The sequence below is a fragment of the Homo sapiens genome, chromosome 17 (genome assembly GCF_000001405.40).
Source record: "Homo sapiens chromosome 17, GRCh38.p14 Primary Assembly".
Taxonomy (NCBI): domain Eukaryota; kingdom Metazoa; phylum Chordata; class Mammalia; order Primates; family Hominidae; genus Homo; species Homo sapiens.
In genome coordinates, this window is record NC_000017.11 from 35850831 (window position 1) to 35868904 (window position 18074).

Consider the following 18074-nt stretch of genomic DNA (forward strand, 5'->3'; position numbering starts at 1 on the left):
AGTTTTAAGAGATTGTAGGATATGTGAGGTTAGGAGAGAAGGCTTGACTTATAACCACTGTGGGGATCAGGGAAGTGTGTGCCTAGGAACCCATAAATCTGCCAGGTGACAATAAGGGCTCAGTTAAAGTAGGAGGTAAGCAGGCCAGGCGCGGTGGCTCACGCCTGTAATCCCAGCACTTTGGGAGGCTGAGGTGGGCTGATCACGAGGTCAGGAGATTGAGACCATCCTGGCTAATACGGTGAAACCCCGTCTCTACTAAAAATACAAAAAATTAGCCAGGCATGGTGGCGGGCGCCTGTGGTCCCAGCTACTCGTGAGGCTGAGGCAAGAGAATGGCGCGAACCCAGGAGGTAGAGCTTGCAGTGAGCCAAGATCGCGCCACTGTACTCTAGCCTGGGCGACAGAGTCAGACTCCTCAAAAAAAAAAAAAAAAAAAAGGCAAGTATTTGGGGGTTCCAGTCTGTATGGATATGTGATTTTTCAACAGCTTTGATAGCAACGTGGTTATAGGGGCAGAGGCAGTTTGATTTAGAGTAGGGGTTTTACTGATCAGAGATGATCAGAGATGACAAAAGTGAGGGTAGTGATTAATGGATGGGATCCAGGTTGAGTAAGAAAAAAAGAGGGAGGATGGAAGGAAGTCAGGAGCTTAGTGTTGGTGATGAGATTCAAAGAACTTGTGTGGATAATAAGAGCTGCACAGATTGAAGGTTGGGTCAGAAAGTGAGAAGTGAACATTTTGGAGATAGAGCAATTCCTAGGGATGACAAAGGTTAGGTGTAACGTTGGAAGTGGGTAGCTGAAGTGAATGGAAGGGAAATGTCTTTGTAATTGAGATGAAGGACTGAGGGGCTGGAGTATTGAATGTTTGTCCAAAGGGATGCCATCAGAGAGGTGACAAAGAGTCAGGCAATGAATGAGAGGAAATGGAGAAATGGACCAGTGGGTAATTGCTGGTTGGTGAGCAGGATCCTCAGAGAAACACTGATTTTCTTTTTCTTTTCTTTTCTTTTTTTTTTTTTAAGATGGAGTCTCTATTGTCCAGGCTGGAGTGCAGTGGCACCTTCTGGGTTCACTGCAACTTCTACCTCCTGGGTTCAAGCGATTCTCCTGCTTCAGCCTCCCAAGTAGCTGGGATTACAAGTGCCTCCCACTGCACCCAGCTAATTTTTGTATTTTTATTAGAGATGGGATTTTGTTATGTTGGCTGGTCTCAAATTCCTGACCTCAGGTGATCCACCCACCTCGGCCTTCCAAAGTGCTGGGATTACAGGTGTGCGCCACCATGCCCAGCAGATTTTTCTTTTTATTTTCTTCATTTTTTATTTTTGAGACAGAGTTTCACTCTCGTCCAGGCTGAAGTGCAATGGCATGATCTTGCCTCACTGCAACCTCCCCCTCCCGGGTTCAAATGATCCTCCTGCCTCAGCCTCCCAAGTAGCTGGGATTACAAATGTGTTCCACCACATCCAGCTAATTTTTGTATTTTTAGTAGAGACGGGGTTTCACCATGTTGGCCAGGCTGGTTTTGAACTCCTCACCTCAAGTGATCCTTCTGCCTCGACCTCTTAAAGTGCTGGGATTACAGGCGTGAGCCACCACGCCTGGCTGAAACACTGATTTTTATATAAATGTGCAAAACAGTGGTGAGCCACCACGCCTGGCTGAAACACTGATTTTTATATAAATGTGCAAAACAGTGGTGATATTGGGAGGGATTTAGGAGAATCAGCAACACCTGAGCGATTTCAGAAAGGGGCCCAGTCAATAGCCAGTTTTCAGTTACAGCCTGAAAGATAGATGAGAAGGTTTGAGGGAGAGAGTGGAGGGTGTGAATGCTTTTTGTTTGCCATCAGAAGAAGCATCCAGAGATCCCATTAGAAAGGTTTGGGTTAGAGGAGAGAAAAGAGAGGGACTTACATTTTGAATAGTGTCTAAGGATCAGTCCCAGTAACTGAGACCAGTGGGTGTCTTTGGACTATGAGAGAAGCCAGCGACTGCTTGGATAAAGTAGACTTCTAAGAGTGTTTGATCTAGGTAGCTTTGGTACTGGGAGGGCTCTCGTACATTGGTGGTGTACCAGATGGTGACTGCTCTGTGAAAACCTTTATGCCCCTCACTGCCATCTTGTCTTCTGGTGGGGACTGGTGAAATTAGGATTGAGGTGCTACTAGGCAGATATTTGTATCTGGTTGAATAATAAGACGTCCTCTGGAAATACCTAAAAATATGGAGGTGGAGTGGTTGGGGATCTGTGGGCAGGATTTTGCAGAAGTTGAGTTTGAATTATGTAGTTAGTAAGGTCATGTTTTGTACTCACAGGCTTTTGAGGCACAGGGAAATTTGGGTTATGTTGCTCATGGACCCAAAGCAGTGGAGTGGGCAAAAGAGGAACATCTTTCCTATCATTGGACTTTGGCATCACAATATTAGAGGGGTCCCCAGGCAGTGCTGCATACACTCAAAATAGTGAAACCACCCTTGGTTTTTACTTACAGCTCGCTCACAGGCAAAACATGAATCTAGAAGTGATGGGGTAGGTTGGGAGATAATTCTGAGTGACACACTATACAGGTTTAGTATCCCTTATCCAAAATGCTTGGAACCAAAAATGTTTTGGATTTCAGATTTTTTTTTCAGAGTTTGGAGTATTTACATTATACTTACAGGTTGAATATCTCTAATCCCCAAATCCAAAATGCTGCAATGAGCATTTTCTTTGAGTGTCATGTTGGTATTGAAAAAGTTTCTAGTTGGAGCATTTTGGATTTTGGGATTAGGAACGCTCAGCCTGCACTGAATTCAGAATAACTGTTGGGATTACTGTAGAACCTGGGGTGCGGGGAAGTAGAAAGGAGCGTCTGTTTTATTTTGACTTTTCTATGCTTGAGGGGAAGAACTTGACCTCCCAGTAAATCAGTAGGATTGGGGGAAGAAGAGGAGGTGAAAGGAGACAGTCGTTTTTAACCTCTGATGGTCAGAGGCTCACATGACAACATTAAAGAGGAAAGGAGAGAAAAGTTCATATTTGATTGTTTACTATGTAATGACAGGCACTGTTAACCTTTATGGTAATCCTCATAGGAGCTTTCTGAGGTAACAGGTATTATTATTTTCATTTTATAGGTGAGGAAACAAAATCACAAAGGTTAAGTATTAACTTTTAATAATAATAACTTGTTCAAAGTTAAAAGTGATTAACTGGCCAGGCGCAGTGGCTCATGCCTGTAATCCCAGCACTTTGGGAGGCCAAGGCAGGCTGATCACGAGGTCAGGAGATCGAGACCATCCTGGCTAACACAGTGAAACCCCGTCTCTACTAAAAATACAAAAAATTAGCCGGGCGTGGTGGTGGGCGCCTGTAGTCCCAGCTATTCTGGAGGCTGAAGCAGGAGAATGGTGTGAACCCGGGAGGCGGAGCTTGCAGTGAGCCAAGATCGCGCCACTGCACTCCAGCCTGGGCAACAGAGCGAGACTCCGTCTCAAAAAAAAAAAAAGTGATGAACCTTAGGATTAGATATCAGATTTGTCTGACTCCAAAGTCTGGGCCTTTCCTTCCTGATAGGGGTTGTAGCTTTTTGGAATTGGTGTGGTAGGTCCTGTTGGCAAAGGGAAACTAAAGCTTCAGTAGAAATAGGGGAGAAATTAAGGCAGTTTTAGAGAATAAGAAGGGTCTTTCAAAGGGAATGACCTAGAGAGTAAATAGGGTCTTTCAAAGGAAAGGATAGAAAGCAGGTACCTAGATTGAAGAGGCAGCAGAGAGGATGGTTGGTTCTGATTAAAGCTTAATTATCTCCTGACCACTGGTAGGAAGGTGGGGGGTGAGGGCAAGTTAGTAAGAGGACATGATCCAAGCTTTCCAGCATTTTCTCCTAGTTTTCTGTCTCTAGGCAGACTCTTCTCTAGCTTTGCCATCAAATTCTGGACACAGATAAGCACTTGATTTAGGGAGGCAGGCTGGCCGTCCAGAGAAGCTTTGGCTCTGTCCTTCCCTCCTTCCTCTGGTAGAAGGGCATGTGGCTGAGTGGAAAGTATACCCAGGTAGGAATGAGGAGACCTGTGTTCCAGTGGAGCTTCTGATGAACAGAAGTGGCAGTAGTGATTCAGAGAAATGTGGTAGGTAGAGTGACACTTGTTTATTCACGGAAGATAAGTATAGATTGTTTTCTCATGGGAGCCTGAGAAGCATCTTCAGGGAGGGAGTCGGGGAGTAGGCCCAAAGAATTGACTTATTTGGCAATTTCAGCAAGGACCCGGAGCTGTTTCTTGATCCTTGGCTGCCAGGGCCCTATGACCTGTGGCCTATGTTTTCGTGGTTTCGAGCAGCACGGTGGGAAAGCAGGCGTTTTCTTTTGGCCTACTTTGGTGATGGACTTTGCAATAAACAAGGGGTTCAGCTTTGCAAGTCGAAAGTCTTGAATAGTTAACTCTTCTGGGTTCTCAGGCTCTTTCTGGAACCTTGTGGGCTCTGCCTTCACATTGGTCTTAGGTGCCTCATATACAGAGAGAACCTTGTTTTTCAGCTTGTTTTGGATCCAGGGATCAATTGAGGCACAAAGGATTAATGTTTCTTGTAGCTGCATTGAAACAAAGGTCCTAGTGCTGGCTCACTTTGGGTTCAGGCTGGGAGGCTCCAGAGAGGGGGCACCCAAAGTAGGGGGGAATTCTAGCCACAGGGCACTGTGGCCCCAAGGAACAAGGTCAAGGGACAGTGTCTAAGGGCTCATGACCCTCTCCTCCTGACAAGGAGCAAATGGTGGTGAGATAGGTGGGAGAAGCTTGAAGGAGGGCTAGAGAAGAGGAAGAAGTGGGCAGGAACGCCTTACTTACACTCTTCTTCACAGCCTGGTGGTTTTCTGCATCTAGTAAGTCCAGGAGCAAGTGGAACACTTGTGGACTGCGGATCCCCAGGACACCCTGGCAGAGGCAGAGTGAGAGTGCCTATGTAGCCAGCCCCAGGAAGACACCTTATACTCTTTCCCATTCTAGCCCCTTTGTGAGACTCTGCAGCATAGAGAGGGGGGAGATAGGGTTTCCCAGCTGAGATACTCCTTTCCTTGCCATTTGGAACCACTGCATGGGACTTTAATGCCCATTATTTGCTAGGAAGACTGAAGACAATTTCTGCAGCATCTAAGCAACACCCCTCACATCAATCTTCTGTCCCTTAGCCCACCTACCCCCAACCCTGAAGAAAAGGTTCGGTAGGGCTGGAATTCTAAAATAAACAACTTCCCCGAAGTTTACAGGCCTTTATTCCCCTCAGTGACTCTGCTCAATCGCCTACTCCCCCTGCCATCAACACAGGAATTGGGTCAGAGAAGCAGAGCCTGCCTTACCAAAGAGATGACTGCTTCCTGGCGTGCAGTGGCATCTGGGTTCATCAGTTGTCTGTGTAGAAGGGAGTGAGTATGTTATAGTTGAATTAAGGAGTAGGGGAAGTGGAAGGGAGGCTGGTTGCTTTTCAGGTCCAGAGCGAATTAGGCAAAGTGATGCTAATTTCATTCATTTCCTTCTCTTGTTTCTTGGATCAGAAAAGGGGCAGGGAGAGGAAAAAGAGGCACCACAGTTTGCCAGGAGGCACTGAATGATGATCAGGACTGTCCAGAAATTTTATCTTTTTAAAAAAAGTTCTTTTCATGTCATAATTTGAGCTTTATAGCAACCTATACCTAACCTTGGTAGGTATTATTACTCTTTCTTTACAGATGAACAAAAGCTCAGGGGTCAAAGAGTTACTTGGTTAGGGGCATGGGCAAGGGAGAACTGAGGACCTGCTGCACTGTAGGTTCTCAGCTCTCACTGACCCTCTGACCCCTTCCCACTGACCCTCTCACTGACCCTCTGCCCCCTTCCCACAGCCTAGGATTTGGCCCTGGCAGCTCCCAGGCCACTCACGCCTCCACCAAGTTCATCATCGTAGGCTTCAACTTGAGCTCTTCCACAGTTTGAGCCACAGCCTGCCTCACAGCCTGCAGAGGGATCAAAATGAGTCAACAGAGAGAGGGAATGCAAGGGTGTACACTTAAGAGCCTCTCAAATCTTTACTGAACATTTCCTTTGTGCTATGTAGAGTCCCTGCCTTAAGGAGCTCATAGTCTGGTGGAGGAAGCAGACAGGTAAATAGGCAATTATAATACTGTGTAGGGGTACACATAGGAGGGTCTCCTAACTCAGTCTTGGGTGCCAGGAAGACTTCCTGGAAGAGGTGATGCCCGAGCTGAATGAAACTTGGAAGGTGAGTGGGAGTTAACCAGGCAGAGGGTTGGGGTTGGTCAGATTTTAAGAGCAGAGGGGAGAGCATATTAAAAAATCTGGAGGCAGGAGAAGGTGCAGAGAGGATGGGGAGCTGAAAATAGTTCAACTCAGAGAGGTGACCAAATGGACTCTTCCAAGCACTCTGAGTGCTCTAATTACCCTGGGACAACAGGTATAAATCAGGACATGGTTGTCGTAAGCATAGTTGGTACATGGTTCTGGTGGGGAGAATGGTGAGAGATGAAGCTAGAGAGGCAAGCAGGCTTGAGCTGTGGAAGCAGCATAAGCCATCCACAGGGCATTGGGAGCCAATAGAAAGTTTTATGCAGAGAAGGCACAATCTGATTTATATTTTTTAAAAATGTCTTTAGAAATATAACACCTAGGGCCGGGCGCAGTGGCTCACGCCTGTAATCCCAGCACTTTGGGAGGCCGAGGTGGGCAGATCACGAGGTCAGGAGATCGAGCCCATCCTGGCTAACACGATGAAACCCCGTCTCTACTAAAAATGCAAAAAATTAGCTAGGCGTGGTTGCGGGCGCCTGTAGTCCCAGCTACTCGGGAGGCTGAGGCAGGAGAATGGCGTGAACCCAGGAGGCAGAGCTTGCAGTGAGCCAAGATCGCGCCACTGCACTCCAGCCTGGGCAACAGAGCAAGACTCCGTCTCAAAAAAAAAGAAAAAAAATATAACACCTAGTTTTATAACAAGCTATAGTAAATATAAAAGCAAGGGAACATAGAGGAAGGTAGGGTTAATGCTGATTGGTGATTTGGGAAAGCTTCCCATAGGAGGTATCGTTGGGATCGGTCTTGAAGGAGCAATACAGTATTTTTAGTAGGCAGAAGGGGAGACGGATTACTTACTGGTGCGAGTGAATAGTATGAGACAGTTTTTTACCTTATAGAAGGAAGGATGACTCAGATCATTTTAACCTGAGTGAACTGCCTGAGCAAAGGCAAGGTGATATAAAAACCTGGGCTGCATTAGTTGAACAGGAGTAGGTCAGGATGAATGTGATACTTCGGTGGAGGCCAGGGGAGGTCTCCAGAACACGGAAAAGAGAAAGGTTTGGGTGTCTCTGGGCTTGGGAGCTTTGGTCTCACTTACAAGGAAGGGTTCATTATGCGTCTTCCTCCTGAGCAGGTTAAATGTGAGTTCCTCTAGCCCCTGTGCCTGGATCTGTTCCAGCCCAATGGTCTTGAGCATTTGGGTGGCTTCAAAGCGGTCCTGAGGTCGGGGGTGAGGGTTAGTGGGGAGGTGTGAAAGATGGATTCCCTTCTTCATCCCCTAACCCTATCCTAGTGCCGGGAAAGGAAGGGTTCAGGCAGTCCAGAGCTTACCTCAAGGACACTGGAAGAACACAGCTGGTCTAGGATGGCCTTGATGACTGGGGCTGAGTGCACGTGCATCACCTTGACCAGCATCCTAAGTGCCTATGAGGGGGCAGGGTAGGGCAGGGTGTACAGGGCCTAGAGGCATCTGTGTGGCCAGGTGGACTTGAGGTCTGAGCCTAGAACTGGTGAGGAACAGCTAAGGTCCTTTTTTCTGCCTCTTCGCCTCTTGACCACAGAAGTTCATGTGTGCATATACATAAATGAACACCCACACCTATCAAATATACACAGACACATGGACGCTTATATGTCCATATGACCCCATACTCATACATGGACATAGTCATAAGCACACAGAGGATCCTGCAGTGCTCCACCACCAGGATGGCAGGATCCAGACCACACACAATTCAGCAGTGGCTTCTGTTTCCCCAGGGATCCCAGCCTCCTGCCCCTCACACCTTCATCCGCTGGGTCTTGAGTCCTTGGCACAGGCACTGCAACAAGAACTCTTGGACCATGTTGCTGCAAGGCCTCAGGAAACCCAGGCACAGGGCTGCCTCCAGAGATGCTTCACTGGACGACTTCTTGATCAGTGTCTGTAGTACAGGCACCAGCTTGCCCTCATCCCCGACTTGAGTCCTCTGTGAGGGAGACAAAATGGCTAAGGGGAGGGGCTATGTACTTTATGCCAGGCTTTGTGCTTCCAGACTATATTCACCTTCCTCCCTAAAATGAATCTTGTGCATCAGATTATTTCAACCAATTAACTTATTCTTGCTGTCACCTACTTGCTTCTAGGTCAGATCTCATTTCTCTATAACTATCTCATGGATGGATCACTGTTACTCTCTTCAACACTTCTGCTGTGTTAATTCCTGTCATTTAAAAGAATATACATGTGAGTGATCCCATACCTCTCCTCCAATATCCTTGTCCTCTTCTCTGCCTCAGCCACTAATCCCACTGAGAGACCTGATCATTACCCACAAATGCAGCTTCTCCATAATCTCCATTTCATGGATCCCACTCTCTGACCATCACCTCTTTTTCCAGCTCCCGAGTCCAAGAATTGTTTGACTCCACAAGGGACTAAATAATCCATTGAGCCTGCCACCTTTGCACTCCTCCACACCTCTGTCCCTCTTGACCCAGCTTAAATTCCATGATCCTGCTGTAATCACTCCCCTTCCTCACCCTCAGCTCCCTTACCCACTCTTGCTTCATTCTACTCCCTGGACAGAACTACAGTCCAACTCTCTACTTTGTGCCAGCACTTCCTGGAGAAAAACACTATTGCAGCGAATGATCTTGTTAAAATGTGTGAGCACAGACCTCATATAGACCCTTAATGCTGTCTGGTAATCATACTGTTTTTCCCTGGGCAGTTCTCTTTCTCACTCTTCCAATTCACACCCTTTCTGGAACACTTCTTCCTCTATTCTTACTCTTGGCTAGTGACCTTGCTTTCTACTTCAGTGAGAAAATCAAAGCAACTAGAAAGGAAGTTCCATAGACTCCTATGACTACTTTTGTCCAGCTTCCAACACTTGCACCCATACACCCTTCCTTTCTACTTGTTAACTATAGACTATAACCATCTATCTAAGGCCAGTCTCCACTTGTGTCTTAGACCTTATCTCTTCTCGCCTATTTAAGGACATCATTTAAGAACATTGCTATTTTTCGGCCGGGCACGGTGGCTTACGCCTGTAATCCCAGCACTTTGGGAGGCCAAGGCGGGCGGATCATGAGGTCAGGAGATCGAGACCACAGTGAAACCCCATCTCTACTAAAAATACAAAAAAAAAAAAAATTAGCTGGGCGCAGTGGCAGCCGCCTGTAGTCCCAGCTACTCGGGAGGCTGAAGCAGGAGAATGGCATGAACCTGGGAGGTGGAGCTTGCAGTGAGCCGAGACTGCACCACTGCACTCCAGCCTGGGTGACACAGCAAGACTCCGTCTCAAAAAAAAAAAAAAAACAAGAACTTTGCTATTTTTCACACTCTCTTCAAAGTCCTTATTTTTATTTATTTATTTATTTATTTATTTATTTTATTTATTTATTTATTTATTTATTTTGAGATGGAGTCTCGCTCTGTTGCCCAGGCTGGAGTGCAGTGGCACGATCTCGGCTCACTGCAAGCTCCGTCTCCCGGTTTCACGCCATTCTCCTGCCTCAGCCTGCCAAGTAGCTGGGACTACAGGCGCCCGCCAGCACACCCAGCTAATTTTTTGTATTTTTAGTAGAGACCGGGTTTCACCATGTTAGCCAGGATGGTCTCAATCTCCTGACCTCGTGATCCACTCGCCTCAGCCTCCCAAAGTGCTGGGATTACAGGTGTGAACCACCATGCCCGGCCTATTTATTTATTTTTGGGAGGTCGAGGTGGGTGAATCACAAGATCAGGAGTTCGAGACCAGCCTGGCCAATATGGTGAAACCTCGTCTCTATTAAAAATACAAAAAAATTAGCCGGGCGTGGTGGCACATGCCTGTAATCCCAGCTACCTGGGAGGCTGAGGCAGGAGAATTGCTTGAATCCGGGAGGCCGAGGTTGCAGTGAGCCGAGATCATGCCACTGCACTCCAGCTTGGGTGACAGAGCGAGATTCGGTCTCAAAAAAAAAAAGAAATGGTTACAGAGATTTTAAAGAAGCATCCTCTTGTCCACATCCTCTTGTAACTGTTGTACCATTTTCTCTTCCAACTGCTTCCCTTTGCCTGCAAGAGGGGCTCGGATAAGATGGATGTTTTGCTTGACTTCTTTGATATCCTGAACTTTCTGTAGCTCTTTATTTTTCTACAATCTGTTCGTTATAAATTTAGCTTGACGTTTCTGTTTGATCTCTTCAACTCTCTTCATTGCGTCAATAGTTTTATTCCATAGCTCTTGCTAGTATTTGATAGGTTCATTTCTATGTTTTTAAAATTCAAATGAATTATCCACTGTAAGCTCTTTACCAGCTGCTTTCCGGAATGCTTTGGTCCACCTAACTTTGCGAGGATTGCGCTTCTTTTTAAAGTTTCTATGACACTTAGATTTACAAAATCTGAACACCTTGCAGTCGTTGCGGACAAACATCATGTCATGGCTGGGGTAGATGGGCCTCGAAGAGAAATAACACTTCTTGATACGCATGTTGAACCTGTGTTGGTCCCCTTTGCTTTCTTAACCATGCCAAACATACTCCTCCCTTTGCATTGGTCCTTCTGCCTGGAATGTCTTCTCTCAGATATCTGTAAGGCTAACCCACTCACTTTCTTTATGTCTTTGCTCAAATGTACCTTCTAAATGAGGCCTTCCCTGTCTACTGTATTTAACATTGCAACCCATCCCTACTCCTACTTGTCACACCTGATCACTCTTACCCTGCTATGTAATTGTTTCCATTGTACCTGTCACCTCTAACATACTACATAATTTTCTTTTTCTTGGTTTTTTTTTTTTGAAATGGAGTTTTGCTCTCGTTGCCCAGGCTGGAGTGCAATGGCGCGATCTTGGCTCACTGCAACCTCTGCCTCCTGGGTTCAAGCATTTCTGCCTCAGCCTCCCAAGTAGCTGGGATTACAGGTGTGGGTCACCACACCTGGCTAAGTTTTTATTTATTTATTTATTTTTATTTTTTATTTTTAGTAGAGACAGAGTTTCACCATGTTGGTCAGGCTGGTCTTGAACTCCTGACCTCAAGTGAACATCTGCCTCAGCCTCTCAACGTGCTGGGATTTGTGAGCCACCACGCCTGGCCTAATTTTCTAAAAATAAATTTATTGGTTATTATGTGTCTCCCCCACTAGAATGTAACCTCCTCCATAAGCGCAGAGATCTTTGCCTGTCTGGTTCACTGCTATATCCCAAGGGCCTAGGACAGTGCCTGGCACATGATAGCTGTTTATTATCTATTTGCTGAATAAATGGATGAATGATGGATTTTCTTTTACATAGAGCAATGATGGGGTCAAAGTAAGAGAACACTAAAGGAGAAAAAAACAGTAGGGTCTGAGGACTCTCTTGGGCCCCGTCCCTTCTTGACAGGTTTTACCATAATAAGTTATTTTAGAGATGATGATAATAATGATGGTTACCATTTAAAGAGCATAGGCATTGTACTAGGTGTTTTACATACATTATCTCATTTAGTCCTCTCAACAGTACTATCAGACAATTACAGATGCTCCTCTATTTACAATGACGTCCCATGGATGGGTTTATGAGGTTGTAATGCCATGCCCATAGTAAGTTAAGGAGTGTACTGACTGTGTGTTGTTTTTGCACCATTGTAAAGTCGAAAAATCGTAAGTCAAACCATCTAAATCAGGAACCATCTGTACTGTCTCCATTCTCCATTTTAAATACAAACTGCAGCTCTGAAATTTGGCTTTTCAGAAATGGACTAGTAAGTGGCCAAGCCATATGCTTCTATTCAACTCCCGAGGGAACTCCTCAAGGACAGTGTCTTCCTCTATCAAAGCTGTGCTAGGTTACCTTCTTCCTCACCCAACCCCAAGCTAAACCTATCAATTACCTTGTCCAGCTTTGCCCCCAATTAAAGACTGTCCTCCCAATCACCTTGTCTTTAGAGACAGCAGCCCAGGAGTTAAGAGCCATTCGTAGCCCCGTCAAAGTCTCCATCCTTTGACCCTCATTTTTCTCCTTCAGCTGTTTGATGAGAGCCCGGATCACATGCTTATTCAGGCAACCTGGACAGGGAGGGGCCTCAAGTCAGGGCAGAGCCTCTGGTACTGCCCCTCTCTGCAAGGACCCATTGAACTCCACTGTGCCATCGAGACCTAAGTTCCAAGTCCTAGGTACCACAGTGTTGCTCATCTTCCCAGGATACCAGGGCAGCTGGCTGAATGTGAACACTATTCCAAGAGCCCTCCCTCTCCCTCTTTCTAATCTCTTTTCCCTTTTCACCCCACCTTCCTCTCTTGGTTCAACATAACTGGGATAGTTCTCAGGCCTTGCCAAATGGTAGGTTGGAGCAAGTGTATGCTCCTCACCCATTTGTCCTTACCCAAAGGAGAAAGTGGTTGCACTTTCTCAACTCCCCACCAAGGGAGAAGACATACTCACCCAGGATGGCCAGGGTTCGGTAGGCCTCGTACTTCACTTTCTCTGGACCAGTTTGGGCCTAATTTAAGAGGCGGGTGGTAGGAACATATAATAAGGTGATGGAATGTCAGAGCTTTAGGGATTGTCTCAGCTTAACTTCTCATTTTACAAAAGAGGAAACTGAAGCCTAGAAAGTGACCTATCTATTCTCAAATACAGAATACAGCCAAAATGGTTCAATGGAAGGAACAATACAGTTGGGAGTTAGATGTTTGTTCAAATCTCTATCTGGTATCTTGTAGCCACTTGGCCCTGGGCAAGTCCCTTGGTCTCTCAGAGCTTTCATTTTCTCATTTAGAGAAATACAGATACTAATTCCTGGTGTTGTTGTAAGAGTTAAATGAGATTATGGATATAAAGAATGCATGTTCCCAGTGGTAAGCTGATGTATACATATGCGGTGTTTCCAGTAAAGGCAGAGAATGTACTCTGTTCTGGCTTTCAGACTTTCCTGGCTTTTCAGTCCAATGTCTTTTCGGTTAGACCAGGGAGATCTTCAGATTCTTCCTTCCCTATCTTTTAGATCCAGCTGCTCTTCGAAGAGGCCAAGGACATGGGATGGGTCATGCTGCACAGTGGTGGCTGTGTCCTTACTGGATCTGACCCGCCATCCTAGCACCCCGGGGAGCCTCGTCTGTGCCCACATGCCACACATCTCAGACCCTGTTTCCTTCTTTCCTGAACTCCAGCAGTTCTCAGACTCACCACCTGCTGTAGTGCCTCCATGACAAACTTGTCACTGATGCGTAAGCATCCCAGAGCCTGCAGGAAGAGGGATGGAGGAAAGAGAAGGAAACTTGGACATCATCCCCAGGAGTTACCATTCTCTGGATACAGCTGGAGTTTGTGCTTGGAATACCATCCCCACAACCACCATCACGTCAAGCAGCTTTTTACTTTCCAGCTTGGCCAACTCCTGGCTGTAACCACCCTCCTCTATCCTTGCCTCTTCTCACCTGTGCTGCATAGAACTGCTCATCCTCTCTGGGAGATTCCAGGCTTTTTGTGAGTTCCTGCCCATCCAAGGCAGCCAGTGGAAAGGAAGACAGAGAAAAATAAAGAATTTCAAACTAAAGGGAGCTCATCCAATCCAATCCCTTTTCCTACCCTACCTCTGTTTTTCAGGCAAGGACTGAGGGCTGAAGGATGGTGTGAGCCCAAGGGAAGGGCACCCACAGGGAGGGAGTCCCCCACGTCCTCTCCCACATGGTCCTGACCCTTAATCTTTGCCACTTCAGGGGGTCCTGGGTAGGCTCTAAGGGCCTGGATCGCATCTCAGATTTTATAGTCAGCTTGCTCATTGGGAGATGGAACATTTTGATGTGGGTTTGATGTACCTCTTTGATGTACCTGTGTGAGAAATTGCATAGGCAGCTTTGGTCCCTTTGTACCTTCCCTCCTCAGGTTGCAACCTCACTTCTGCCACAGGGCTACAGCCCAGCTCAGATATGGGACCAGAGGAAGACAGATGAGGACTCAGTGATATCCACCAGAGCCGAGCCGAGCCGAGCCGGCCGAGCCAGATGGAGCTGAGCCAAGCCGAGCCGCCCTAAGCTCCTCTCTGGGACCTGTAGGCTGACTTGCCTTACTCCCTGGCCCACCCCTTCCTTGCCCTTCCTCACTTTCCTAGAAGATGTGGAGGGTGAGAAGAATATGGAGGCCAGCAAAACACACCTACAGTCATCTCTCATTTTCCTCAACATCTTCTCAGCCTCCCTTTCCTCTCGCTGATCATACAGGTCGTGCCAGTGCGTGTAGATCTCAGGTTTCTTGAAGTAGCAGTACGGGACTGAGTTTGGCTTGCTCGGATGCTGCCTCCAGCACTCTGGACTTGGGGGAAACTCTTCCTTTGGCATCTGGGGGTTGCAAGTGGCAGAACAGTCAGAGGGGTCCCCTAGGCCCTTACTTGTGAGGGTATGGGGAGGAGGGGGTAAAGGGAGGGAAGGGCAGGGTGAAACAGATGCCCTCTAGCCTCTCATCTGAGCTGGAGTCACAGCTACCACCTAACCCCTTGCATAACTTGGGCAAGTTACTTCATCCTATCAAAGTCTCAGTCTTCTTATCTGTAAAACAAAGCTAATAATCCTTGTTCTGTGTCCCTACCAAGGTTGTTGTAAAGATCAAAAGAGAGATCCAGATTGTGAAGCCACTGGTGATCTGTAAATCGATTTGAATACATAGTTTGGTTAGTTGAGGATCTCAAAGCACTTTGAAAATGACACTTGAGTAGGGAAATGAAAAGGCAAGGTGTGGGGAGGATGTGGGATAAAGGTGGGGAAAAGACAGACTATTGCTCATTCAGATATTTATTTGAGTACCAACTATGTGCCAGATACTGTGCTGGGTGCTAGGGTTGCAGTTATCCCTGCCCTCATGGAACTTAACAGTTTAGCAGGGAAACAGACTTTCTTAAAATAATCTATCACTTAAACAATTGTGAAACTACCGCTGTCACTGTAATGGAGGATTTTGAGTGGATCAGGGGCTTTCTCTGAAGATTTGGCTAGGATTCATCCCTGTCTCTTCTTAAGCCTTTCTTTCACTCTTTGCAACAGATCTGGGCAACAGGGAAGAGGGGCTTCAGCTGTGGTTCCCAACTTTGTACTGAAGAGATCATAATAAGGGTTCTCAAGTGATTGGCATAAGTTCAAAAAATGGAGCATGACTCACAGTGAGTAGGGTTGCAGATTTAGGAAGAAAAAAAAAAAAGCTCCCCGCTCCCAAACAAAAAAATACAAGGATGTCAAGTTAAATTTGGATTTTAGGTAATGAATGAAATATTTGAGACACATTTGTACTAAAACACCATTTGTTGTTTATCCAAAATTCAAATTTAATTGGGCATTCTGTATTTCATCTGGCAACCCAAACTGTGAGGGTTGCTAACTGTCCCTGTGTTAACTAATAAAAATGACTTCCATTAGTAAGCACTTTCTGCATAGCCAAGGCCTCATAGACTTTGTTTCATAACAACTCTACAAAGGGAGGTGGACAGGGGTTAGCCTGGGACACAGGAAGCTCCTGAGGCTCTGAGGGGGAAAGTGACTGTTCAAGATCACAGTTAATGGCAGCCCCAGGGGTAAATGTCAGGGTTCTGTGAGCTGGCTTTAATGGGAAGGGATAGTTTGCTGCCCCTCCTAACTTTGATACAGCTCCCAGGGTAGCAAAAGTAAGGGGTCTTACCTGGTAGCAGGACAAGGGCAGATGAACAGGAGCCATGGCTTTTCTGAGTTCTGGCAAGAGGGATAAGAGTATGTGTGTGGTTCAAATGAGATAGCAGTTGCAGGCCAGGCTTGGTGGCTTCTGCCTGTAATCCCAGCACTTTGGGAAGCCAAGGCAGGCAGATCACCTGAGGTCAGGAGTTCGAGACCAGCCTAGCCAACATGGTGAAACCCCATCTCTACTAAAAATACAAAAAAAACATTAGCCAGCCAGGCGCAGTGGCTCACGCCTGTAATCCCAGCACTTTGGGAGGCCGAGACGGGCGGATCACGAGGTCAGGAGATTGGGACCATACTGGCTAACATGGTGAAACCCCGTCTCCACTAAAAATACAAAAAAAAAAAAAAATTAGCCATGTGTGGTGGTGGGTGCCTGTAGTCCCAGCTACTCAGGAGGCTGAGGCAGGAGAATGGTGTGAACCCGGGAGGCGGAGCCTGCTGAGATCGCATCACTGCACTCCAGCTTGGGCGACAGAGCGACAGAGCGAGACTCCGTCTCAAAAAATAAATAAATAAAATAAAAATTTGCCAGGGGTGGTGGTGCATGCCTATAGTCCCAGCTACTTGAGAGGCTGAGGCAGGAGAGTCTCTTCAACCTGGGAGGTGAAGGTTGCAGGGAGCCGAGATCATGCCACTGTACTCCAGCCTGGGTAACAGAGCAAGACTCAAAAAAAAAAAAAAAAAAAAAAAAAAAAGAGATAGCAGTTGCAAAGGTAGGTTAAAGAATTAATACATTCAGGCATTCATTTATTCAGCATTTAGTGACTACTAGTACCAGATATTTCACCAGGCACTGGGGAGATAAGTAAGGCCAAAGCGGGCAGATTGCTTGAGCCAAGGAGTTCAAGACCAATCTGGGCAACAAAGTGAGACTGCCCCCTAACCCTCAATTAGGAAAAAAAAAATCACTTGGAGAGTTTGTTAAAACACAGATTTCTGGGACTCATACCCACAGTATCTGATTCACTAGATTAAGGGTGGGGTCTGAGAATTTGCATTTCCTGTTTTTTGTTTTGTTTTGTTTTGTTTTTATTGAGACAGAGTCTTGCTCTCTTGCCTGGGCTGCTGGAGTGCAGTGTCACAATCTTGGCTCAGGTCAACCTCTACCTCCTAGGTTCAAGTGGTTCTCGTACCTCAGCCTCCCAAGTAGCTGGGATTATAGGTGCCCGCCACCACACCCAGCTAATTTTTGTATTTTTAGTAGAGATGGGGTTTCACCATCTTGGCCAGGCTGGTCTGGAATTCCTGGTCTCAAGTGATCCGCCCGCTTTGGCCTCCCAAAGTGCTGGGATTAGAGGCGTGAACCACCGTGCCCAGTCGAGAATTTGCATTTCTAACAAGATGCTGATGCTGCTGGTCATGGGATCACGCTTTGAGGACCACTGTTCTAGCTGGAGAGACAGAAGTGTTTCTTAGTGATTAACAGAGGGAAACAAATGTGAAGATAGATGTAGACACAGGTGGTAAACATGAGGGGTACCTAACCTGGCTGGGAGGATAAGGGAAGGTTTCCTAGAGTAAACTCCACAAGCTGAGTCTTCAATACAAACAGGAACTAGCCAGGTAGATAAGGGGGAAGAGCATTAGACACAGGGAACACCCTATGCAAAGATTTGGAGGTGCAAGAATTGAGGGTAAAGAGCAGGGTACAGGTGTGGGAGCAGAAGCTGGGGAGACACACAGGTGTCCCATCTTAGAGATCCCTGTAGGCCCTGCTGAGGAGCCTGAGACCTTGAGGACTGTGCAGAGCCATCAAAGTGTCCAAGGGCCTGCCCTGATGTTTCCCAAGGGTTTGCTGAACTCACCTAGACCCTTGCCTGGGAGTGAGAGCCAGGTAGCATTTCTTTTTCAGTCCCCTGCTCTTGGCTCCATTTCTGTCCATCCCAGCCTCACCTTTGGTCTTGTCTGGATATTCCAGCCATGGGTACAGGAACATTGACCTGGAGACATCAGAGATATCAGTTGATTTTTCATAGGCCATCTTCTTCTCCTGGTGGGGCCAGAGGGAACCTGCAGGGGGGAATACAAGGCTTTTAGGGGAGTGGGGGCACAGCTGGAGGAGACCTGTCCTCTGTGGTACGAGAGGTACAGGGGAGGTGTCTGGACTTCTGGAGGTAGAAGCTTCCAAGTGCTAAGCGACCAG

At 46.7% G+C, this 18074-nt stretch overlaps 1 protein-coding gene and 1 pseudogene across 7 annotated transcripts; both read right to left on the bottom strand.

Moving 5' to 3' along the window:
- Positions 1-4124: 4124 nt before the first annotated feature.
- HEATR9 (HEAT repeat containing 9) lies at positions 4125-18061 on the bottom strand. Of its 7 annotated transcripts, XM_005278233.3 has the most exons (16): positions 17996-18061; positions 17737-17871; positions 15894-15943; positions 14385-14566; positions 13928-14060; positions 13667-13723; positions 13416-13472; positions 12672-12729; positions 12165-12295; positions 8058-8240; positions 7603-7695; positions 7370-7489; positions 5902-5975; positions 5343-5394; positions 4834-4920; positions 4125-4580 (listed from the first exon to the last, which is right to left on the bottom strand). In XM_005278233.3, the coding sequence occupies exons 3-16, from the start codon at positions 15927-15929 to the stop codon at positions 4233-4235; spliced, it is 1611 nt and encodes a 536-aa protein (XP_005278290.1). In that variant the 5' UTR covers positions 15930-15943; positions 17737-17871; positions 17996-18061; the 3' UTR covers positions 4125-4232. The 7 variants fall into 7 exon arrangements, 4 of the variants coding, with proteins under 4 accessions (XP_005278290.1, NP_001308324.1, NP_689994.2 ...); NR_135630.2 differs by having other exon boundaries at positions 12121-12295; positions 17825-18061; NM_001321395.2 differs by having other exon boundaries at positions 14048-14060; positions 17825-18061.
- LOC107985049 (probable ribosome biogenesis protein RLP24) lies at positions 8283-10804 on the bottom strand (annotated as a pseudogene).
- Positions 18062-18074: the final 13 nt, after the last annotated feature.

Excerpts from the sequence above, each read along its gene's own strand:
- HEATR9 (NM_152781.4), bottom strand. The coding sequence starts at position 17,912 with ATGGCCTATGAAAAATCAACTGATATCTCTGATGTCTCCAGGTCAATG. Across the intron at positions 15,944-17,824 it reads ATATCCAGACAAGACCAAAG|AACTCAGAAAAGCCATGGCT; the intron begins GTGAGGCTGGGA and ends CCCTCTTGCCAG. Across the intron at positions 8,241-12,164 it reads CTGCTGTCTCTAAAGACAAG|AGGACTCAAGTCGGGGATGA; the intron begins GTGATTGGGAGG and ends TCTCCCTCACAG.